General features: G+C 45.1%; 1 protein-coding gene across 1 annotated transcript, besides 2 other annotated features; it reads left to right on the top strand.

Moving 5' to 3' along the window:
- The first annotated feature begins 14,812 nt into the window (after positions 1-14,812).
- Positions 14,813-23,411, top strand: C9orf152 (chromosome 9 open reading frame 152). Its single transcript, NM_001012993.3, has 2 exons — positions 14,813-15,585; positions 21,498-23,411. The coding sequence occupies exons 1-2, from the start codon at positions 15,393-15,395 to the stop codon at positions 22,022-22,024; spliced, it is 720 nt and encodes a 239-aa protein (NP_001013011.2). The 5' UTR covers positions 14,813-15,392; the 3' UTR covers positions 22,025-23,411.
- Positions 15,143-15,643: an enhancer, noted in NCBI's record as "H3K4me1 hESC enhancer chr9:112969609-112970109 (GRCh37/hg19 assembly coordinates)". NCBI's record gives its function as "activates a minimal SCP1, AML or CMV promoter by ChIP-STARR-seq in naive H9 embryonic stem cells {active_cell/tissue: H9 hESC(naive)}" and the evidence as "EXISTENCE:reporter gene assay evidence [ECO:0000049][PMID:30033119]".
- Positions 15,644-16,144: an enhancer, noted in NCBI's record as "H3K4me1 hESC enhancer chr9:112969108-112969608 (GRCh37/hg19 assembly coordinates)". NCBI's record gives its function as "activates a minimal SCP1, AML or CMV promoter by ChIP-STARR-seq in naive H9 embryonic stem cells {active_cell/tissue: H9 hESC(naive)}" and the evidence as "EXISTENCE:reporter gene assay evidence [ECO:0000049][PMID:30033119]".
- Positions 23,412-25,115: the final 1,704 nt, after the last annotated feature.

Below are 25,115 nucleotides of genomic sequence, written 5' to 3'. Positions count from 1 at the left end.
GATGCCTATTTTTTATTAATTAGTTCTTTATATATTCTAGGTACAAATCCATTGACTGACTTTTTATATCTACTCAGTGCCTTGCATTTTTAGTCTTAGTATCTGTGATGAGAAATTCAGAATTTTAAACTGTTAATGTAGTCCATTTTAATCAATCATATCCTTTATCATTGGTAGCTTTTCTGTCCCATTTAAACCATCTTTTCCTTCCCTGAATAAACAAAAATATTCTATGATTTCTTCTAGAAGATGTATTGTCTTTTTAGATGGGGACTTACAATTTATTTAGAATTGAGTTTTGTGTATGATGTGAGGTAGGGGTCAAGATGTGGATATCCATTAGGCTATCTGTTTATTGAAAAGGTCATCTCAGCTAGGCATGGTGAGTCATGTCTGTAATCCCAGGCAGTTGGATCACTTGAGTCCAGGAGTTCAAGACCAGCCTGGGCAATGTAGTGAGACCCCATCTCAAAAAAAGAAAAAGAAAAGGTCATCTCTTCCTTCCTCATTGCTCTGAAGTGCCACCTTTGTCATAAACATATTATGCTGGTTTATTTCAAGGGAGTTTTCTGATTTGATATAAATGGGTACATGGCATGAAATTGACTTCTCTTTGATTTAGATTCCCCTCTCCTTGGGCCTCCATGTGAATTCAATACAGGAGTTGTTTGGGGGTTTAATTATTGTCACTAGATCATCAGAGAGTGTATTCACGTAGTATATCAATTAGCTTTCAAGGTAAAGTACAAATTCTAATTTCTGGATGGATCAGAACTTTCTTCCAACTCTTACCTCACGCCTTTTTCCTTCTGCAGACTGCAGTTATAAAGATGTCGGGAGTGTTCTAGTTGGTTATCTGTCTTCCATGTTCACAAACTTCCTACAGGCCCAAATTGCTTATCTTTTTGTCACAGTTTTATTGATATCTTCTTTTTCCTTTGACCATTCAAAAGAATACCCACTCCCTCAGGAGGGCTGAGCTAAAGCTGGGGACACCGGAGCTAAATAAAGACACATAAAAGACTTATTCCTAAGGCTAGGCATGGTGGCTCATGCCTGTAATAATCTCAGCACTTTGGGAGTCCCAGATGGAAGGATTGCTTAAGGCCAGGAGTCCAAGACCAGCCTGGGTTAAATGGTGACACCCCCTATCTCTACAAAAAAAAAAGTTTTTAAAAAAATAGCCAGACATGGTGGTGCATCCCTATAGTCCCAGAAACTCTGTAGGCTGAGGTGGGAGGATCGCTTGAGCCCAGGAGTACAAAGTTATAATAAACTGTGATAGTGCCAATGCACTCTAGCCTGGGCAATGGAGCCAGACCCCATTAAAAAAATTAATAAATAAAGACATTCCTTAGTGATTTTCCAGTGAGGAAGTGGGGAGGCCATCCAGGTCTGTCTCTATCCAGAGAACCCAGCAGTTGAGGACAAATTAAAACTTCCATGAGGCTCAACGTCCAGCAAACATCTAACTTAATTCCACTTCTCAAAGTTCCTTTAGTTCTTGGGCTTACCACATCTCCAAATCCACCAAAAGACAAACATAGCCAATTAGAATATCAGAAAGGGCCAAATTAAATGCCGAAACCCAAGAGGGAAAGTATGCCAAACTGAACAACTTTTACCTGTCTAGTTCAAGTTGGGTAATTTCTAGAAGTCCAGGAGTCATTAACGAAACCTCTTGGGACCCAAAATTTATTCTCCAAAAGACACAGATGCAGCTGAAATCGTTGATAAAAACCAAAACGGAAACTAGTAGGACTTTTTAATTTCTCTGAAGTGTAGTGCACACATGTAGATTTGTGCACAAATTAACATGCTCTTCAGATGCGTCCAGTGTAGGTGAGCAACAGAGCAGAGGCCCACACTGGGATAATAGCCTAGGCAGAAGCTCACAGCCTGAGTAACAAGGCAGGGCAAATTTACAGTTCAGATAGCTATGGGTAAAGTCCAGGTTGAAAATCTGTGAAACTGGATTCACTACTCTTTTCTGAATCTGTGTGACAAGTTCAAAGTTCAAGGAGCAGTGCAGAGGGTACACATCTACCTATGTGACGACAGGGCAGAGAACTCAGAGCCGGGAATCTAGGAAGATGGAGACTGAAAGCAGAGCCCTTCCCCCCTCCCACTACTTCTCCAGTATAAATGCATTTCTGCAAACAGACCAGCCAGGACCATGAACAGAAAAAAAAGTTTCTCTGGGCCGGGAGCAGTGGCTCACGCCTGTGATCCCAGCACTTTGGGAGGCCGAGGTGGGTGGATCACGAGGTCAGGAGTTCGAGACAAGCCTGGCCAGCATGCTGAAACCCTGCCTCTACTAAAAATACAAAAATTAGCTGCGCATAGTGGTGCGCACCTGTAATCCCAGCTACTCGGGAGGTTGAGGCAGGAGAATCGCTTGAATCCGGGAGGCAGAGGTTGCAGTGGCCGAGATCGTGCCACTGCACTCCAGCCTGGGTGACAAAGCAAGACTCTGTCTCAAAAAAAAAGAAGAAAGGAAAAAAGAAAAAAAAAAAGGAAAAAAAAGTTTCTCTGAAAGTAGGTAGCTTGACAAGCAACCGTTTAAATAGCTCAGTGGTTCTTGACCTTGGCTGCACCCTGGCAAGTTTTGAAACAGGGTCTCACTCTGTTGCCCAGGCTGAAGTGCAGTGATGCGATCTCGGCTTACTGCAACCTCTGCCTCCCAGGCTCAAGTGATTCTCCCACCTCAGCCTCTCAAGTGTCTGGGATCTCAGATGTGCGCCACCACACCCAGCTAATTTTTTGTGGTTTTTATAGAAGCAGGGTTTCATTCACCATGTTGCCCAGGTTGGTCTCAAACTCCTGAGTTCAAGTGATCCTCCTGCCTCAGCCTCTCAAAGTCCTGGGATTACAGGCATGAACCACTGTACCCTGCACCTCTGGCAAGTTTTAAAAGTACTGATGCCTGGGCTCCACCTGCTCCTGTGATTTGGATTCAATTGGTGTGGGATGAAGCCCCAGTGTAAGTAATTTTTTTAAGTTATCCAAGTGATTCTTAACGTGCGGTCTGGGTTGAGAGCACCCGAATTTAATTTAAGCGACTTTGGACAGCAGTCATCCGACCACAGCTTAAACAGAGAACAGTCCCCAAGAGTGTGGGGCCAAACTGCTGGGAAAGACTTTTCAATGATTAGATTCAGGGTGAGTTGATTAAAGGAATACTCGAAGATTATGCAGCAAAAGATCAAGTTGTACCTAGGTGTTCACTTATTTTAAAGCTTGTACAAAACATTATCTGACAACTTGACTAAAGTTGTTTAACCTAGTAATTTTTTTAAAGAGGGTTTTGTTATAATAAAATGTGGGGAGAACATCTCATGACTCCAATAAACTCAGGCTTCAATACCATGGGATATGAGGTATGGGGTAGTGGAATAAACATGAGCTTTGAGAACAGAACAAAGTAGGTATAAAACCTGTGCTGCCAGTTTTTAGCTGCAGGACCTGAGGTGGCTCACTGAAGCTTTCTGAGCCTGGAGTACTTCATCTGTAAGATGGGGATGATAATACCTGTTTTTTAGGAAGCTTGTGAGGATGAAATGGGATGGCGTATTTAAAGCATGTTTGTTGGTTAGACTCTTTGATGTCAGAGCCACCTGGGTTAATTTGGGTTTATGGTGAAGATGCTCAGGGAAGGTAACAGTCATGAGCCCTAGCTGGAATTCCTTGGGGCTACTGTACTGTCTTTGGGATGGGAGGCAGTCCTGGCCACCCCCACATCAGGCATCATTCATTCTGGTGTTCTATCATAATCATGGTTCATATACTTTCCATGTCTTTTCTTTGACTGTGGATGAAGGGTCTCTTCCCTGTTTTATTTTGGAAGTCCAATTAGCTGGACCTGCTACCCTCCTGTATAGGAGCCCTGCTTACTACAGCTTCCACCCCAGGCCACTTCACAGGCTTCTGGCTGACCCTAGATGGCTGCTCAGGGAGAGTGGTGAGGTCACATGGCACCGAGCTTGCATGGGGAGCCTTTGTGCTTCCCAGAAGGGGAGTCGATGGCAGGCAAATGTCTGGTCTGGCCTGTGGTTCTGTTCTGCGTGTTCCAGCCCTTAGGAGCTCACTAAATAGCAGCTGGGCCAGGCGCAGTGGCTCACATCTGTAGTCCCAGCACTTTTGGAGGCTGAGGCCAGAGGATTGCTTAGGGCCAGGAATTTGAGACCAGCATGGGAAACAGCTCAAGTGATCCACCTACCTAGGTCTCTCAAAGTGCTGGGATTATAGGCATGAGCCACCATGCCCAGGTGGCTGTTATAGTACATTGTGTTTTATCATTGGTAAAACTGTTTTTAAATTTTGTAATATCTTTTCTTAGGTATTTTAGATGAAATATTAAGTTTGGTTGTTCCATAGCATTCCTTCAATATCTTTTATATGATATCTATTGGGGAATAGAGAAGCCTCATCTCTATTAAAAAATAAAATTAGGCCTGGCATGTTGGCTCACGCCTGTAATCCCAGCACTTTGGGAGGCCAAGGCAGGTGGATCACGAGGTCAGGAGTTCAAGACCAGTCTGGTCAACATGGTGAAACCCCGTCTCTACTAAAAATACATAAATTAGCAGGGTGCAGTGGTGGGCGCCTGTAGTCCCAGCTACTCAGGAGGCTGAGGCAGAAGAATCACTTGAACCCAGGAAGTGGAGGTTGCAGTGAGCCGAGATCTTGCCACTACACTCTAGCCTGGGTGACAGAGCGAGACTCCGTCTCAAAAAAATTAAATTAAATTTAATTTAAATTAAAAAGAAAAAAAAAAGACCAGTTGTGGTGGCTCATGCCTGTAATCCCAGCACTTTGGAAGGCCAAGGTGGGCGGATCATTTGAGGCCAGGAGTTCGAGACGAGCCTGGCCAACATGGTGAAACCTGGTCTCTACTAGAAATACAAAAATTGGCCCGGCGTGGTGACACACACCTGTAATCCCAGCTACTCGGGAGGCTGAGACACAATAATCGCTTGAACCCGGGAGGTGGAGGCTGCAGTGAGCCAAGGTCGCACCACTGCGCTCCAGCCAGGGCAACAGAACGAAACTCTGTCCGTCTCAAACAAGGACAACAAAAAAGCAGCTGAAATGTCAAAAACCCTTTTTTTGTCTGGCTATGACTCAAAGTCCCCACTAGAGGGCAGGAAACTTACATTTAAGATGGATTTTATGTTCTAAAGGTTAATAAACTGGATAAATGATAATGATTATTGAAATCATAGTCATAGGTAACAATTGTCGCACACTTTCTAAGATCCAGGCACTCCTCTAAGCACTTTATATGCATTATAGTATTTAAGTTATTTACTGTATTCTCTTTACCTACTTCTTACCATAAATTGTAGCCATGCAATTATCAGTTAACTTGCTCTTCACTTCTGTCCCCACCACTGGACTGGAAGTTCCATGAGGATAGTGTCTGTTTTATTCACTATTCTATACTTAGTACTGTGTCTGGAATATTGTAGTGGCTGAATAAGTACTTGTTGAATGAATAAAAGAATCCTGACTTCAAAACCAAAAGATGGGGGCTGTTTTTTTTTATTTGTTTATTTTTTAGTTTCTGGGACAGGGTCTAACTCTGTCTCCCAGGCTGAAGGGCAGTGGCACAGTCATGGCTCACTGCAGCCTCAGCCTCCTGAGCTCAAGCGATCCTCCCAAGCAGCTGAGACTATAGGTGCACACCACCATGTCCGACTAATTTTTGTATTTTTTGTAGAGAGGGGTTTTGCCATGTTGCATAGGTTGCTCTTAAACTCCTGGGCTCAAGTGATCCACCTACCTCGGTCTCTCAAAGTGCTGGGATTATAGGCATGAGCCACCACGCCCAGGTGGCTGTTATAGTACATTGTGTTTTGTCATTGGTAAAACTGTTTTTAAATTTTGTAATATCTGTTCTTAGGTATTTTAGATGAATTATTAAATTTGATTGTCCCATAGTGTTCCTTCAATATCTTTTATAGGATATCTATTGGGGAAATCTCTGTTCTTTTGTAGAAAATTGACAGGCATTGTCAAACTAAAATAAATAAGGACCTCCTTATAGATTAAGAGCTAATTTATTATCTTGGTAATGGGTATTGTAATTATCCGGAGGAATTTGTGGATTTATATTCAACAAACGCTGACCTCATGCCAGACACTGTTCTAAAGACTGCATCCTTACAAAGTTTCTATTATTAGGTCCATTTTACGGATGAGGAAACTGAGGCACAGAGATAGTAAGGAACTTGCCCAATATATCACAAGTAGTAAATTGAACAGCTGGAATTCAAACTCAGGTATTCTGGCTGCGAACTCCAAATACATAATTGCTATGCTGCCTCTAAATTTCACTTAATGATTTTATACAATTATTACAAAAAGCAACAGCTTCATTGGTAATGATTCTGATAGGACACAGAAAAATAAATCTGGGAGAACTTCTGTGCATTTTTTCTAATTGACTTTCAATCCATTTGAAATAATAGGGATGGGAAAAGAATTACAAATAGGTCAGAAGCTGTTGTTTCCTGTCCAAATCTTGTTTCTAGCCAGGGAGTTATTTTGCCAGCACATGATGAAAAATTATAAACTGTAATCCCCTTTCTAAAAGACCAAACACACTAACCAACTAACACACAAAAGCCAGCCTGCTATAGGGCAGAGCTCTTGGAATATCAACAGAAAAGCCAAAACATACAATGCAAAAATCTTTCAGTATCATCAAAATGCAACACAATTTCAGCCAAGTAAGTTTTGCAATAAAAATAACATACAACAATCATATGACCCAGTAATTCCATTCCTGAGTATATACTCCAAAGAATAGAAAATAGGTATTTAAACAAAAACTTAGCATGAGTATTCATATCAGCACAATTCACAATAGCCAAAAGGTGGAAACAACTCAAATGTCTATCAGTGAATGAATAGATAAACAATAAAAGATATATCCACACAATGGAGTATTGTTCAATCATAAGAAAGAGTGAAGTGTTGATATATGCTACAACATAGAATGAACCTTGAAAACATGATGAGTGAAAGAAAACAGAACAAAAAGTCACACACTGTATGATTCCACTTATTTGAAATATCCAGAGTAGTCAAATGTTTAAAGGAAGAAAGCAGAGTGATTGCCAGTGGCTGGGAACAGAGGGAAGGGAGAATGACTTCTTTTTTTTTGAGTCTCACTCTTTCACCCAGTCTGGAGTGCAGTGTCTCCATCTCGGCTCACTGCAACCTCCGCCTCCCAGGTTCAAGAGATTCTTGTGCCTCAGTAATCCCAGTAGCTGGTATTACAGGCGTGCACCACCATACTCTGCTAATTTTTGTGTTTTCAGTAGAGACGGGGTGTCTCCATGTTACTCAGGCTGGTCTCGAACTCCTGACCTCAGGTGGTCCACCTGCCTCAGCCTCCCAAAATGCTGGGATTACAGGCATGAGCCACCGCTGAGAATGACTTCTTAATGGATATGAGGTTTCTCTTTGGGGTGATGAAAATGTTTTAGAAGTAGATAGAGGTGGTGATTGTACAACATTGTGAATGTACTAAATGCTGCTGAACTGTTTATGTTAAATGGTTAAAATGGTGAGTTTTCTATAGTGTGAGTTTTACCCCACATAAATAAAAAGCTCAACCTACAACCAATTTTAAAATAAAACTTACCTATGTTTTAAGACTATAAAATATTCCATTTTTATGTACAATGACAACCTACAAAGATTTCTGCATCCTTTTGGTTAAAATGTAACCAATCACCAAGTGCTATCATTTGTTTCTTTTGCCTTGTGTATTTGCTAAGTGGATAGCAAAGATCAAAGAACTTTCAGAAGAGATATAGAAATACAGCCAGATACAGCTAAGATCTCTTTGAACATGATAATAATTGAGTGTGCTGAGCTGTGTCCCAAAGGTCTATAGAATAATAAATGCAAAAGATATCTTGGGTGAAAAGAGTCTGAATTATGCAGCATAACTTTTTTAAACATTCCCTCTATTTTCTTGAGTCTTGCTATTGCTTGGTGATTTAGGAATTAGGATGGGTGGCTGTACTGTGGATTGCTTATTTCGATATCCATTTAAATCTTTTATCTTACAAAGGCTGGGGAGCTTTTAAAAGCTACATTTCCCAGATTTCCTTGCAGTTAGGATTCTGGACATGCTTTGGGTTGAGCAATCAGCTGTGCTTTCCTAAGATTCTATGGGCAAAGAGGCAGGATGCAGGCGCCCATTTTGTAGGTGTGGTTCATGGCCCAGGTGGTGTGGTTTGGGGGCAAAGAGCTGTCCTAGAAGTTTCCTAATTTGGCAGGTGGTTTTCCTGTTCAGCAGCTTCAGCAGCAGTGGTAGTATACTCATACATAATCAGAAATATTCCAGTTATCTGTTGCTGTGTAATGAACCATCCCCAAACTTAGTGACTTAAAACAAAATTTATTATTACTTCTCATGGTCTAAGCATAAACTGGGCTCAAGTAGGTAAGCTTCCCTTGGGCTCTCTTATGACGTTACATTCAGATGTGCACCGGGCTACAGTTATTTGATGGCTCAACTGGGCTGGATGTCCTGGGGTCTCACTCTCTGGCAGTTGAAGCCAGCTATTGGCTGGGAATTCACCAGAATTTGGTGGCTGACGCACCTACCGTGACACACCTCACTGTGTTGTTCAGGCTGCCCATGACGTGGTGTCCAGGCTCAGAGGAGGCACATCCCAACAGTCAGCATTCCAAACAGCAGGAATCAGAAGCTGCCAGAAGCCGCAGTTAGGGCTACACCAGGAACAGACACAGAGTCATTTCTACCACATTCTGTTAGCCAAATGATACCACTCAACCAACTCACACTTAAGAAAGTGATACAGGCTCCACCTCTTGATGAGGGAATGGCAAGCTCAGTTGCCAAAGGGTATATGAGATGAAAGATAGTGTTTATCCATCTTTGGAAAAACTACAAGGGTAGAGGAAGAGTGGTCTGGAGGCCTAATGTTGCTCTTCCTGCTCTGCTAATAATTTTACCAGCACCAATTCCCCATGTGAAATCTCTTTCTGCTTAAATTAGCCAGACTGGGATCTGTTGACTACACCTGGATCCTGATCAAGGCTGGAGGTGGGACTTTACTGTCCCCAGGCAAATAGCATTCCAATATATTACTCTGTATGTAACTGGCATAGAGCAGTGACGCTCCGGAGAGGAAAAGCATTTGGAGTTGGAAAGTCCCTTGCTGAGTTTCAAGTTTCCCATCTGGAAAATGGGGATGATAATAATAATAATTTGGCATCTACTTTATAGAGTTAAACAGATTAAATGAGTCAACACATGCGCAATATTGTCACGTGCCTAGCACCTGGAAGGCAATGCTTGATGAAGTCCGTTTTGCTTGTTTGCTCAGCTCAAGCCGGCTCCCTCTCTTTGGTAATCGCTCTATCTGCAGGCACAGTGAAGTTAAGTAACTGGCCCAAAGGCATACTGCTAAGAGAGGACATCTTAGGCCGGGTGTGGTGGCTCACGCCTGTAATCCCAGCACTTAGGCCGAGGCAGGTGGATCACCTGAGGTCAGGAGTTCAAGACCAGCCTGGCCAACATAGTGAAACCCCATCTCTACTAAAAATACAAAAATTAGCCGGGTGTGGTGCCACGCAACTGTAGTCCCAGCTATTGAGGAGGCTGAGGCAGGAGAATCGTTTGAACCCAGAAGGCTGAGCTTGCAGTGAGCTGAGATCACGCCACTTCACTCCAGGCTGGGTGACAGAGCAAGACTCCAGTCACTTAACTAACCCAAAGGCACACTTGACTCTAGAGAGCAAGGGGAGAGTAGCTAAGAATAGGGAAGATAAGACGCAAACCCGCATAGTCTAGCTTCATAGTTCATGCTCTCAATCCTTACACTGTACCACTTTTTAAAGCTGAGAACTGAAGGTGTTTACAAGTTAGCTAGGGGACATGTGGTTGCTGCCAAGGATGGAAATATAATGAAGATACGGTTGAGGTGAAAGTAAGTAAAGGAGTGTTCTAGAAGACAAAGAACAGCACATACCAAAGCTCCAAGGAGGAAAAGACATTGGTGGAATTCAAGAAATTCCTTCAGAGAAGGCTAAAGCGGTGAGAATGCTTTTCTCCCCTCTTTCACATCATGGCACACCTAGAAAATGACACTATTTGTATAGATCACTGGAATAAATGCAGAAGCTGTTTGTGGCTGGAGACACCCGGCCCAGGAGTTGTGGGTCTCAGTCATAGGCATATCTGGAACCCACTTATAGGAAATCTTGTCTAGAAAGTAGAGAGCAAGGGGAAAGTTGACACAGAGACTGGAAAGGTGAGACAGACCCAAGACAGGCACAACCCCCTGGGCCATAAGAAGGATTTGAATGCGAGTTTGAGTGTATTGGGAGGCCACTGGAGGATTTAACTGGGAGAGAAGCCATGAGATCCAATTTGCTTTGTGTCTTTTGGAGAACACTAACTGCTGTGAGGTCAAAGGATCAATGGATGAGAGGACAGGTGTGGAAGTGGGAGGGAGGGGACAGGTAAGAGGCTGTTGCAGTAGTCTTGGAAAAAGAAATGAGGACAGCATAGGCTAGGTGGATGACAGTGGAGGTGGAAAGAAATACATGGATTTCAGGTATCTTTTTTTTTTTTTTGCAATTTCTTCCTCCTAGTTCAAGTGATTCTCCAGCCTCAGCCTCCCAGTGGCTGGGATTACAGGTGCCTGCCACCACGTCTGGCTAATTTTTTGTATTTTTAGTAGAGACTGGGTTTCACCATGTTGGTCAGACTGGTCTTGAACTCCTGACTCAGATGATCCACTCACCTTGGCCTTCCAAAGTGCTGGGATAACTGGTGTGAGCCACCGCACCTGGCCGGATTTCAGGTATCTTTTAGAGCTTGTATCTCCCAGGCCTAGAGATGGTTTGGGTGTAAAAGGTGAAGGAGAAAGGATAGTAATGTTTCTTCTCTCACAGTGTTCTCATGAGAAATTAAATTTAATTTTGTCCAGGTTCCTCAAAAAAGCTAAACATAGAATTATTATATAGTCCAGCTTTTCCAAAAGAATTCACAGCAGGAATGCAAACACACACTTGTATATCAATGTTCATAGCAGCACTATTCCCAATAGCCAAAAGGTGGAAACAACCCAAATCTCCATCAACAGATGAATGGGTAAACAAACTGTGGCCTGTCCATACAATGGAATATTATTCAGCCATAAAAAGGAACGAAGTTCTGATGAATGTTTACAACATGAATGGGCCTTGACAACATGTTAAGTGAAATAAGCCAGTCCAATATATTACAAATATTGTATGATTCCACTTAGGTTGGGTACTAAAGTCATAGGGACAGGAAGTATAGTAGAGGTTGCCAGGGATGTAGGGAAGTGGGGAGCATTATTTAATGGGTACAGAGTTTCTGTTTGCGATGATGGATACGCTGGAAATAATGGTGATTGTTGCAGGGCACTGTGAATGGATGCAATGCCACTGAACTGTACACTGAAAAATTGTTAAAATAGTCAATTTCATTTACACAAATATTACCATAATGAAAAAATTGATCATTTACATAGAGTGATTAGCACATATCTGACCCACTGCAGTTTTAGATCAATGGTTATAACTATTGTTTTCATATGTCTAGCCTAGCCTCTCTTTTTTCAGAGAGGAATCTCCCTTACTCTTAAGGCTGAGAGCTTTGAATTTTTTAGTCTGTCTGCCCTGAAGCACTTCTTGACATCCTGAGTCCTTCTTCGTCATACTTGGCTCTCCTGTGGACACTGTCATTCATACACCTGCAAATCACAGTCCACTCCATAGGACAAGGTCCCCTCCTCATTGGAACCAGAGAGAAGAGAGCACAGGGAAGCCTCCATCCCTTGCAATCTTGCCCTCTTGATTCTCTAAGGCTAGATCACTAGGCTTCAGGGATGGGATAATCTCAGAGCGAACTTATTATAGGGGAGAGGAAAAGTGAAAGAACAGGGTAACTCAAGTTTTCCTGGAGTCTCCAGTGGAAAGAACTCCAAACTGAAGTTCTTCACAAGAACAGGATCCACCACTCCTGTCCTGCCCCCACTGTATACTGGGCTGACCCAGCCTGCTGCTCTCAAGCCAGCTCCCTAAGGGATTCCTTCTTCAAGTCTCTGAGTCTCTACCCACCAATGACTGGTCTTTGTATGGACAGGGTTATTGTCTGAGTCATTCTCTCTGGAGTGGTACCCCAGTTGTGAGTGATACCTGTTGCCACTCAAGTCTCACAGAATAGCTGGATCCCCTGGACAGGAGTGGACCTGGAGCCTCTGGTCTAAGTTATTTTACTGGAAGCTCCAGGGAGGGCTGTAGGGATGCTGGTTCCGGTAATGAACTAACCTGCTACATTAAGCACAGTCTTATCTCTCAACCAGAATGGGACATTTCATGTTCCATACAGTTTACATATATACAGAAAAACAAAATATTCCCTAGAATCACAAGACATCTTATTCCTACTCCAGCGTCTCCAGCCCTGAACAACTTTGAAGCTTATTTCCAGTTCCTCTGAAGGATATACCTGGATAATGAAAGTCACCCATTTAGTGGCAGCCACCCAGAACAAACTCCAGGCTTGATCATCTTTTTTCATTTATTTCTGAAGACTCCCTGGGATGAGATAGAGTTGCCAGTTTTTTCTTATACTATTGTTATTGTTATCACAGACCAAGGAAAGGAAAGTTTATTCAGTAAGTGCTATTGAAACAACTGGTCAATTATTTGGAGGAAAAAACCCCTAGATCCTTGCCTTATACCTAACACAACACCAAAATAAATTTCAAATGGATTAAAGATTTGAGTTTTAAAAGAAAGAGGAACTATATGAACTAAAAGAAGGAATTTAAGCTCCTAAAAGGCATTCAATCAGCAGTAGACAGCCTCAATTTACTTCTCATCAAAATATCCACAAACGCACCCATATAGAAAAAGACAAAAACTGTTAATACTAAAAGATGAAGGCTGACAAGTAAATGCGAAAATATAGTAGAAATTTCTACTGCCATTATTTCTCTCCTCCTCTTCTCTTCTCTTCTCTTCTCTTCTCTTCTCTTCTCTTCTCTTCTCTTTTCTTTCTGAGACAGGAGCTCACTCTGTTACCCAGGCTGAAGTACAGTGGTGCAATCATGGCTCATTTCAGCCTCGAGCTTCTGGGTTCAAGTGATCATCCCACCTCAGCCACCCGAGTAGCTCGGACTACAGGCATGTGCCACCATGCCTGGCTAATTTTTGTAGATACAGAGTTTCACTATGTTGCCCAGGCTGGTCCTGAACTCCAGGGCACAATCAATACACCCACCTCAGCCTCCCAAAGTGCTGGGATTACAGTTGTGAGCCATTGTGGCCAGCCTACTGCCATGATGTCTACTGCCATGATTTCATGGCAGGTGCAGCTGGTCCAGCATGGATGGGTTGCTCTTGCCTTCATGATAGAGTGATCTACCGATAAAAAGGTATGAGGAAGCTTTGGCTATCTCTCTCGGTATTTTTTTGAGACAGATTGAGCTCTAATCCAATGTGATTGCTGTACTTATAAAAAGGGGAAAATTGGGCACAGAGACACCCACATAGGAAGAACATCATATTAGGCCGGGTGTGGTGGCTCACGCCTGTAATCCCAGCACTTTGGGAGGCCAAGGCGGGCGGATCACAAGGTCAGGAGATCGAGACCACGGTGAAACCCTGTCTCTACGAAAAATACAAAAAATTAGCTGGGCGCGGTGGCGGGTGCCTGTAGTCCCAGCTACTCGGGAGGCTGAGGCAGGAGAATGATGCGAACCCGGGAGGCAGAGCTTGCAGTGAGCTGAGATTACGCCACTGCACTCCAGCCTGGGCGACAGAGTGAGACTCCCTCTCAAAAAAAAAATAAAATAAAAAAATAAAAAGGAAGAACATCATGTCAAGATAAAGGCAGAGATTAGGCAATGTTTTTGCAAGCCAAAGAATACCAGAGATTGCTAGCAAACCATCAGAAGCAAGGTGAGAGGCATGGAACAGATACTCTCACACAGCTCCAAGAAGAAACCAACCCTGCTCACACCTTGACTTTGGACTTCTAACCTCCAGAACTCTGAGACAATAATGTTTGTTGTTTAAGACATCCAGTTTGTGGGATTTCGTTATGGCAGCCCTAGCAAAACTAACATATACTACCCAGTGAAGATTTGCTCTCCATCTTCCACGGCTCCCCCACATCAAATGACTAGATCTTGTCTGGTTAATGTCCAAAATGTCTTGTAGGTTCAGGCTCTACTCTGTTTCCATTGCCTCTGTAGACATATTGGGTAATTGGGTAATCAGTAAGCACCGTGATAGGAGAAGATAGAAAGGGACTTAGTTGACCAAATGCAGCAAGGCTAGGTCAAAGCTGGTGTAAGAGGGAGAGGGTCTGGGATTCAAAAGCAATGTGGAAATGTTGAGGCTGGCAAGCAGAGAGTGAGGGGATGCCTAACTTACCACTTGGTTGGAGAATGCTGAGACGGCAGAGGCTGCACCAAATGTCCAAGGGGTAGGGCTGGCCCGAGGCCAAGATTCCCCTGGGCTCTGTCCCATGGCTGACTTTAGGGCTGAATTTTCACCTGGGGTGTGTGTTGGGGTCTGAGTGGAGATCTTGGGGAGATCTTTGCTACTGGGTTTCTTTAGGGTGTGGCCGCGGGGCACACATCCAGAGGCACCGACCTTGTGAAGCTCCCGAGGGTGTTCTTTGAACTACTGCAAACCCAACCGGCAGGTTTGCTGAAAAGTGGCCACGTTCCAGTCCAAAATGTGTGAGCAGAGCGCGAGCTTAGCACTCCCCAGCCCCAGTCCCAGCTCTGCCAGGAAAGGGGAGACTTCACCGTGGCACTGGGAATTGGATTCTAAACTTTAGGATCAAGCAATGGAAGGACCTGGAATAAGACACCTTCTTGACCCCCCTGAAGGGCTCTGAGCAGCTGGGCTTGCCTTTCTCTTTGCTCCCCCAGTCCTCCCCTTACTTCTCGGTCTCCCACTCCCCATCACTCCTTTCCCTGCCTCCTCCTGCCTGTCTCCATCTTCCTCCCTCTCTTTCTTCTCTCGCCCCATTAATCCCCGCTTGTCACTATCACCTCCTTCCTCCAGTCTTTCCCCCTTCGCTGCCCCTTCTTTCCTCTGACATTTCCTTCTCCTCTTACTGCCACTGTCTCCCACCTTTCTCCTCCCCCACATTTCTCCCTATCCCTACCTCCTCTTCCCCTTCATCTTTCTCCTTCCCCCTTATTTTTCTATCTCCTTCCTCAGTCCCACTCCTCTTTCCACCCTCCTTTTGCCCGTCACTTCTCCTTCTCCCTCACTGCCCCCTCCCTCTCTCTCCCCTCCCCAGGTCCTGCCCCACCCAGCTGTGTTTGCTTTTCTCCCGGATCCGGATGGAGGGGTTGCCCTGCCCGTGCCCAGCCCTGCCCCACTTCTGGCAGCTTAGGTCTCACTTAATGGCTGAGGGCTCCAGGACTCAGGCCCCTGGGAAAGGGCCCCCACTCAGCATCCAGTTCCTGCGAGCCCAGTATGAAGGCTTGAAGAGGCAGCAGAGGACCCAGGCCCACCTCCTGGTGCTTCCAAAAGGTAGGAATGGACAGGTGCTGGGGAAGGAGAGACTTACCATGGGAGACCTGAGTGGCAGAGCTGCAGGGAGGCAGAGCCAGGGCTTTGCCAGCCCTCCCTCCCAGTGGGGAAGAGCAGGGGAGGCGGGCTCAGGGCAGCTCTGCTCAGCTGTCCCACCTGCTAAGGGAGCCAGGGGCCTCAGCCAAGCACCTGGCTGCCAGCACTGTTCCTGGCCTCTGCTCTGATGTTCTAATCTTGCTAGACTGGTCAGCCTGGTGAGCCAGGCTTGGCCCCCCTGCTAGCCCAGGTATGGCGATAGGAGCTCTGCTTCCTGGCTGGGTCTAACTAAGGCACCTCCTACAAACCAGAGAAATTCACTCTGGAGGTAGAAGACATGGCGTTCCCAACAGCCTGGGAACTGTCTGGGCCAGAGGACGCCTAGGGCTCAGAGACCCATGAGGCATCCCAGGCTCATCCAGCCTCAAACATCAGGCAGGGAGGTGTGATTGGACACAGAAACCCCCTCATGGGGAGAAACCTCCTCCCTTTAGGAACTCAGATTTCATTCCAGGAGGGAGTTAGAGGCACAGGGCTCAGAAAGCAAGGGCATGTCAAATCCCAGCCCTTCCTCCTCTAACAGAGGAACAGGTTGAGGGAGAAGGGAAGATACCCTGAAAGGTCAAAGCTGGGCTCTGTGGGATTCTGTGGTTATTTGTAGAGTTCAGTAGACTCTTTGGGCTGCCCTTTGCCAGGCCAGACTGGGCAGGAATCAGGGGCCAGAGGGACCTCTCTGTCTAGGGCAGGAAGTGTGCTGCCTTTTGGGAACAAAAGTGGCACCTCTGAGCTGAAGGAGCCCATCTCCCATTACCTGGGCTGTTGCCAACCAATGGAATCCTCGTTCCTGGCAGGAGTGAACTGGCACAGCCAAACAGTCACCATCTCTGCAGGGCATAAACTGAAAGGTTCCTAAAGCTCTATCCCACCCTTGAGGGTATTTATTCATTCAGTTATTCAACAAACATTTATCAATTTAAATCCCTATCAAATGGAAACACAATGCTTAATACACCTGCAATTCAGACTCACAAATCTAATTGCTTAGTGGGGATGATCCAAAGACATCTCAAATTCAACATGCCCCCAGAGAATTCACTATACCCTGTGCTCGTCCTTTCTCCTGCTCTTGGTAACTCGGTACCCCCTTTCCCATCATTACTAGGTGCTAAATTATGGTTCATGCAAGGAGTGCCCAGGTGTGGCTTTCTCCGAGAAGACTTCTGACCTCCCAGCTAGGTCAGGGTCATTCAGGGCACTTTCAGCAGTTTGCAGTTCCACATTTTTTTTTTTTTGAGACAGATTCTCACTCTGTTGCCCAGGCTGGAGTGCAGTGGGGTGCAATCTCGGCTCACTGAAACCTCTGCCTCCCGGGTTCAGGCAATTCTCCCTGCCTCAGCCTCCTGAGTAGCTGGATTACAGGCACCTGCCACCATGCTCGGTTAATTTTTGTATTTTTTTTAGTAGAGATGGGGTTTCACCATGTTGGCCAGGCTGCTCTTGAACTCCTGACCTCAGGTGATCCACCCACCTCGACCTTCAAAAGTGCTGGGCGTGAACCACCATACTTGGCTGAGTTCCACATTCTTTATCTAACTGTGAGAGGCAGCATACTGTGTAATGGAGTGGTCATGTACTGGGTCTTGGAGCACAGCCTGAGTTTGAGTCCCAGCTCTGCCATTTACTTAATATGCAGCTTTAAACAAGTTACATAAATTTTCTGGGGCTCAGTTTCCTCACCTGTCAATTGGGAATAACTGTAGTACCCAAATCATAGGGTTATTGTAGGAATAAAATGAACTAATATGTATAAAGCTCATCAAGGCCTTATGCACTGACTGGCTGAGGACAAGATCACGTATGTCACATGTATCTAAGTAGGAAGGCCACTTGAAACACTAGCACTGAATGTGAAGGAGTAGGTAATTATCCAGGGAGAAATCAGAGTAAGGTGACAAAAATAAGGTGAAAATGGCACTAAGGAGGCAAAAGAGCAATTAATTGTCCCCTATACTTTAGCAACAGGATAGATGGTGGTATCTTTCCTTGAGAATACAGGAGAAAAAGGCTTTTTGTGGAGAAAAAGGCTTTTTGTAGAGAGAGATGAACTTGTTTTTGAATATACTGCATTGGAGATAGTTGCCTGTAGACCTTCCATCCAGCCTGGATCTCATTTGGGCTGGAGAGCTAGATTTGGGGTTATTCATCTATAGATGGTAGCTGAAGCCATGGGCATGGATAAAACTGTGGCAAATCCATGTGTAAATTGATAAGAAACTGGGATGAAAATTAGAGTTCTGGAATACTCAAATATTTAAGGAACAAGAGGAGGAAATGAAGCCAGGGAAGATGGAGAGAGCAGTCAAAATTTGAGGACAGGCATATCATTCAGCCATAAAAAGGAAAGAAATTCTGCCATACACTACAACATGGATAAAACTTGAGGACATTATGCTGAGTGAAGTCAGTCAGTCCCAAAAAGACAAATACTGTATAATCCCATTTACATGAGGTATGTAGAGTAGTCATATTTAAAGAGACAGAAGGAAAGCAGAATGGTGGTTGCCAGAGGCTGGGGCATGGGGAAGTGGGGCGTTATTGTTTAATGCTTATAGAGTGTCAGAGAAACTGAAGAATTCTGGAGATTGGTTCCACAATGTGAATGTACTGAACACTACTAAACTGTGCACTTAAAAATGGTTAAGATGGTACATTTTATGTTCTATGTATTTTACCACAATTAAACATATTTTAAGTGGTATAAGAAAATCAAGAGCAATTAATGTCATGAAGCCAAGCTGGTAGAGGGATTTTAGAGGACCGTGATCCTCAGTGCCCAGTGCAGCAAAAAGACCCAGGAAGAGAGAGTGAGCATTGAGACTGGGCTCCTACTAAAGCTAGAAGTCAATGTCTCAAGACATTGGGTTGCGTTTAGAAGCTCAGAAATTCTAGGAGCTGATCAATGAAAGGAAGGGCTCCGAAATTAGCTTTCTTCACCCTGTCTTAGCATTATGCGATGGATCCAGCTTCTGGAAATGCAGTTACAAGTAGCAGCGTGCCTTCCCTGATGCAACGTAAGTACCCAGGGGACCTTGAGCTACTTTCAGAAGTCTGTGGAGCCCCAATTACTCCCAGTGATTGGTGTCCAAAAGGAATATGCTTTTGTCACAGTCAGACACTGTGTGACTCGCCTCATGTAGAAAAAGGGATTAGGGTCGGGACTTATATCTGGGCTGGATGTTTTATATTACATTTCATTGAACATTCCTGGCAGCCTTGTAAGGTAGCTCCCTTTTTAAGATCTCCATTTATAGATGAGGAAATGGAGGCCTAGGGTCTCCTAGTGAGTCAGTGGTGAACTCAGGACCAGACCTCATGTCTTCCTGACTCTGGCTTGATGAGAGAGGTTCCACCAAAGGTCTCAGGCAGTTAGGGTGAATTTCGATTCTTCTTTCCTCCCTGAGTCTCTCTACCACTCTCTTCGCTCTTCTCTCCACCCGCTTCCTTCATCCCCACTGAAGAGAGAAATCAAGGAGGGGCTCAAAATACCCCTTCTCCAACTTGTATCTTCTGGCAAAGTGAATCAAGGGTGGAGAATGAAGAAGGTATTATAGATAACGAGTACATTTCCTTCCAGTCCCTGACTTACCAAAACCAAAACAAAACAGATAAAAAACATGATACGAAATTTCCCTGTACTCTTCAGTCAATTACCCTAATTCTCTTTCTCTTGTACAGTGAAGGGCAGGCACCATCCCAAGATGTGCAGGGTACTGCCACAGAAGGCTCATGGTGATTCTCAGCAGAGGCTGCTCTGGGGTGGGGTCCCTGTGTATCTCCCAGCCTAACTCTTTTTCCTTTCCTCTGAACCACAGGCTGGGACTGACAGCTGAACAGGCCTGTCCACCTTCAGTCCTTTCCTTCTAAACTAATGCTAGGATACCAGTTTCTAGGTTCTCCCATTGTGTCTCCCTCCTTCCTTGTTCTCAAATAAGTACATAACATGTTGGATATTTATAAAAGTTTCCTTTGGCTGGCCGCGGTGGCTCACGCCTGTAATCCAAGCACTTTGGGAGGCCGAGGCGGGCGGATCACAAGGTCAGGAAATCGAGACCATCCTGGCTAACACAGTGAAACCCCGTCTCTACTAAAAATACAAAAAAAAGTAGCTGGGCGTGGTGGCTGGCACCTATAGACCCAGCTACTCGGGAGGCTGAGGCAGGAGAATCGCTTGAACCCGGGATGCAGAGGGCGGAGGTTGCAGTGAGCCAAGATCGCGCCATTGCACTCCAGCCTGGGTGACAGAGCAAGACTCCATCTCAAAAAAAAAAAAAAAAAAAAAGTGTTTTCTTCATTTCATGCTGGAAAATAATACTAAGGAATTAACCAGTTACAAAGCCGGAACAAATCTTGAGTCACACTAGAGTTAGTGTTGACAGGAGAGTAATTGTTGGCTGAGATGGCTGCAGCTGGTCTTCTGTTTCTTTGGGATCCCTGAATTGGAGCTCAGGGGCTTCTTTCTGACTTTATTCTTCCAACATCATCTCCCCACTCTTGCTCTGCACATTGTCACCTCCAGGGCCTCCTGTGATAACAGGTGCCGGAACAGATAAGTGAACCTAAGTGACACCTCTGAGGAGCTCCAAGCTGGTCACACACCTGCTTTCTATAAGGAAAATGCCTTTCAGTCATTCCAATACCTCTCACTGCCACCAAGAGTTAACAATGAACTGTCATATTCCACTAGGTGGTTTAAAAAAAAGTCCCCAAGAAAGAAAAGAGACATTGGTCTGCCTCTTTCACCCTAAAGCCAGTTCTGAGGAGCCGTAAATGCTGCAGATGTCCTCCCAGAGCAGTGCCTGTGGACTAGGAGAAGGATAATGATTGGTTCTCTAAAGGGAGCTGCTTCAAAACACAACTCCTCCCTCTTCTGCCTTGGGTGGTAAACTCACTATCAGAATCCCAGGACACAGCCGAGCGCAGTGGCTCACGCCTGTAATCCCAACACTTTGGGAGTCTGAGGCGGGCGGATCACTTGAGGTCAGGAGTTCAAGACCAGCCTGGCCAACATGGTGAAAATCATGTCTCTACTAAAAATACAAAAAGTAGTCAGGCATGGTGGCAGGTGCCTTGTAATCCCAGCTACTCAGGAGGCTGAGGCAGGAGAATCGCTTGAACCCAGGAGGTGGAGGTTGCAGTGAGCCAAGATTGCACCACTGTACTCCAGCCTGGGCAACAGAGTGAGACTCTGTCTCAAAAAAACAAACAAACAAACAAACAAAAAGAATCCCAGAACACAAAACCCCGTAAGTTAAGAATAATCTTTTCCACTGGTGAGAATATGTGAACCCACATGTGTGTGAGTCTGTGTGTGCTCTTGTTCCTTGCCTTTCTTTTAGCCCCAAACGCTAGTTCCCTATCTCCTCCCAGAGTTTACTCCTCCACTTCAGTGTTTGACCCTCTATTATGCTTGAGATTTTCCATTGCATTGATTGCCACCCGAAATTTTATTATAAATATGCAATTTTGTCTCTACTCAACCAGGACACACCCCGGAAGGTGTGGGTTTTGTCTCAATGTTCATTGCTGTATTCCCAGGACCTAGAATAAATAATGCCTGGCACATATTAAGTGCTCAATAAATATGTGTTGAATGAATGAATAATTGTGTGTGTGTGAGTATATATGGGTGAGGTGTAAAAGGGCATGTGTGTGAGCATGCAAGTGAGATCTTGTGTGTGTACACATGTACACACATGAAATGTACCAGGAACCTTCTGGGGATGGCCTTCCTTCAGCTTGAAAGCAATGAGACCCCCTAAGTGAGAGCCGCCCCTGTCCCTTCCAGTGATGACCCTGCTGGTGCATTCTCTTTTCAGGAGGAAACACACCTGCTCCTGCAGAATCGATGGTCAATGCTGTTTGGATTAACAAGGAGAGAAGAAGCTCACTGTCCCTGGAAGAGGCAGATTCTGAGGTGGAGGGGAGGCTGGAGGAGGCTGCCCAGGGCTGCCTTCAGGCCCCCAAGTCTCCATGGCACACGCACCTGGAGATGCATTGTTTGGTCCAAACCTCCCCCCAGGACACCAGTCATCAAGTACATCATAGGGGCAAGCTTGTGGGATCTGATCAAAGGCTCCCTCCTGAAGGAGACACACACTTGTTTGAAACCAATCAGATGACTCAGCAAGGAACCGGAATCCCAGAGGCTGCCCAGCTTCCATGCCAGGTGGGCAATACCCAAACAAAGGCAGTGGAATCTGGCTTAAAATTCAGCACTCAATGTCCTCTTTCCATAAAGAACCCACACAGGTCTGGCAAACCAGCTTACTATCCATTTCCCCAGAGGAAAACACCCAGGATCTCCCAAGCTGCCCGGAACCTGGGCTTATATGGCTCAGCGTGAAGCTTTCTATTCTGCCAGATGTCTTGACCTTGAGGCCACCTATGGCCTTATAGAAGAACCAAGGAGGCAGAGCCACAACGAGGTCTCTAGCTATGAGCAAGAACTGGACTAACCTAATTATAGGAATTGTGGGAGACGAACTTCACAATGGTAACATGGTTTTACCCTTCCAATAAGAAGAGACTTCCCAGGCCAAATTGCCCACAGTTTAGGATGAAGAGGACTGTCTGGTCAGTGCAGCCCCATTCTGACATTACTATGAGGTCCTGGATATCCATTCCTTGGGGAGGACCAGTAAGACATCTGCTCCATCCCTGGAACTGGATAATTTTGGAACATAAACCAGGGACCTAGCCAACAGAATGCCTTAGCAATGCCCAGGGGTCAATGGGCGTGGCATTCTTGTTTTCAATGTCTTCTGATGATTTCTCATATATTCTGGAGAAGACAAGCTCTGAGAATTCAGATGCTTTTTCTGGTGGCTATGTCTGGGGGGCCATCTCACTTAGAAGTCACAACACTCATTGGCAGTGATCACATCATTTCAATTTGGGCTTCCCAAAGTATGGTCACCCAGGGTATGAAGGTGAGATCAATGCTACCTACCATTTTGTGTCTTTAAGGGGTCTTTAGAAAGGGCTAATCATCTGTCACTGCTCACTGAGACATGTACATTCCAGCATCATCACAGAGTTATCTCCTTCCTTCCTTCCTTCCTTCCTTCCTTCCTTCCTTCTGTCTCTCCCTCCCTCCCTCCCTTCCTCCCTTCTTTCCTTCTTTCTTTCCTCTCTTCCTTCTTGCCTTCTTTCCTGCCTTCCTGCCTATCTTTTCTCTCTCTCTCTCTCTGCAAATTAAGTTCTTATTAAAAACTGCCAATCATTGACGATATATAATGATGAGATCCTGAACAAAAGAGGCAAAGAAATGCTCCTACTTGAAAAATACACATTCCCTATAGACTGCCTCCTGTTTAGTCCAACTTAGATCACTCAGATCCTTCCTGGGATCAAATATATTTTTAAACCTAAGACAAAGCGAAGCAGGTGTCACTTGGGTGATAGGGAAAAAAGCTTGTATTTCCTGGTTAATGTTTAGCTTTTGTAATGCTATTTAAACACACCTAAGGTGCCTTTCCCTCATCTCAGGTGCTTTCTCTGTAAAGTTTCACTCCCACCTTTCTTTTCTCTGCATGGCCGTCCAGTCTTGCCCATCTACATCCAGAGCTGTTAACTAGTAGTGTCATTACCTGTGAAAAACATGTAGAAGCTTCCTTGAACCACCCAGAAATCCACTCAAATTTGGGGATTGTCATTCCTTTTGTGAATAATTAATACAATTCAGTTGTTTTTTAAATATTCTAATAAAAAAGGAAATTTTCTCAAAAAAATTTGTCCTTTGCTTTTGTTTTTAAAGAAGTGTCCCACAAGTAACGTATCTTTCTATAGGTTTGCTTTTGTTTCCTGTTTTTGGAGATGGAGTCTTGCTCTGTTACCCAGGCTGGAGTGCAGTGGTGCAATCCCGGCTCACTGCAACCTCTGCCTCCCAGGTTCAAGCCATTCTCTTGCCTCAGCCTCCCAAGTAGCTGGGATTATGGGCGTGTACCACTACCCCAGTTAATTTTTTGTATTTTTAGTAGAAACGGGGTTTCACCATGTTGGCCAGGCTGGTCTCGGACTCCTGACCTCGGGTGATCTGCCTGCCTTGGCCTCCCAAAGTGCTGGGATTACAGGTGTGAGCCACCACACCCAGCCAATAATTACATCTTTTTTTTTTTTTTTTTTTGAGATGGAGTCTTGCTCTGCCTCTCAGGCTGGAGTACAGTGGCACAATCTCAGCTCACTGCAACCTCCACCACCCAGCTTTAAGCGATTCTCCCACCTCAGCCTCCCCGGTAGCTGGGGTTACAGGTGTGCACCATCATGCCTGGCTAATTTTTGTGGTTTTTTTGTAGAGACAGGGTTTCACCATGTTGCCTGCCTTGGCCTCCCAAAGTGCTGGGATTACAGGTGTGAGCCACCACACCCGGCCCTTTTTTTTTTTTTTTTTTTTTTTTTGAGACAGAGTTTTGCTCTTGTTGCCCAGGCTGGAGTGTAACAGTGTGATCTCAGCTCACCGCAACCTCTGCCTCCCAGGTTCAAGTGATTCTCCTGCCTGAGCCTACCGAGTAGCTGGGATTACAGGCATGCGCCACCACGCCCGGCTAATTTTGTATTTTTAGTAGAGATGGGGTTTCTCCATGTTGGCCAGGCTGGCCTCAAACTCCCGACCTCAGGTGATCCGCTTTCCTCGGCCTCCCAAGATGCTGGGATTACAGGCATAAGCCACCGCACCCAACAAAATATAACCCCTCCACGACCGTGGCAGAACTCAAACCTGCAATCTTTTGATCCGAAGTCAGACGCCTTATCCATTAGGCCACACGGCCAGCTGGTTGGCCAAGTCTTTGTTCAAAATGCCAAGAGCCTGGATGGCCTCCACCGATAACATTAGCAGAAAGTTTTCCTCTTCTCTTCCTAAGATAGAGAAAAACCAGCTCACATTGTAAATCCTGCATCAGGCAGGCCACCTTTACCTAGGGTTCCCCAGGCTTCCACTTCCCAGTGTGGACTCCCCATGTGGCTGCCTGGCACACACCATGCCTCAGTCTCCCCTGGCAGAGGAGGACGGATCAGGCTCTAGTCTGGGCACTGCCATTGGTAGAGGTGTGACCTTTGTTGGGTGAATTAAAGCCAGAGATTTCAGAGCCAAATCTCAGAGCCACAGATTTCCCAGTTTAACTGAAGGCGATAATCTTCCCTGGGGTGGTGAGGGACGCAGAGGAGAGACGTTTTCCCTAAGCTAGGAACAGAAAAGTTCTTTTCCAAGAACCAATTCAGCTGGATCGAACAGCCTCTTCCCCACTAGGGGACAGGCTGCCCTCACACTATCTCAGTCAGATTCCCTAACTTTTCAGTCACTTCCTGACATTAAAGCCATTCATTTCAGTTGTTAAAGCTTGGAACTGTTCAAATGTTAAAGTTCATCTCATAGTCAAGTCAGAGTCTACCAGGCTCCACCTCCTCCCAGCACAGCCTTGATTGATGCCTTTAAG

Source organism: Homo sapiens, chromosome 9 (assembly GCF_000001405.40).
Source record: "Homo sapiens chromosome 9, GRCh38.p14 Primary Assembly".
Taxonomy (NCBI): Eukaryota; Metazoa; Chordata; class Mammalia; order Primates; family Hominidae; genus Homo; species Homo sapiens.
Note: the sequence above shows the minus strand (reverse complement) of the source record. Positions and strands in the feature narration are given on the sequence as shown.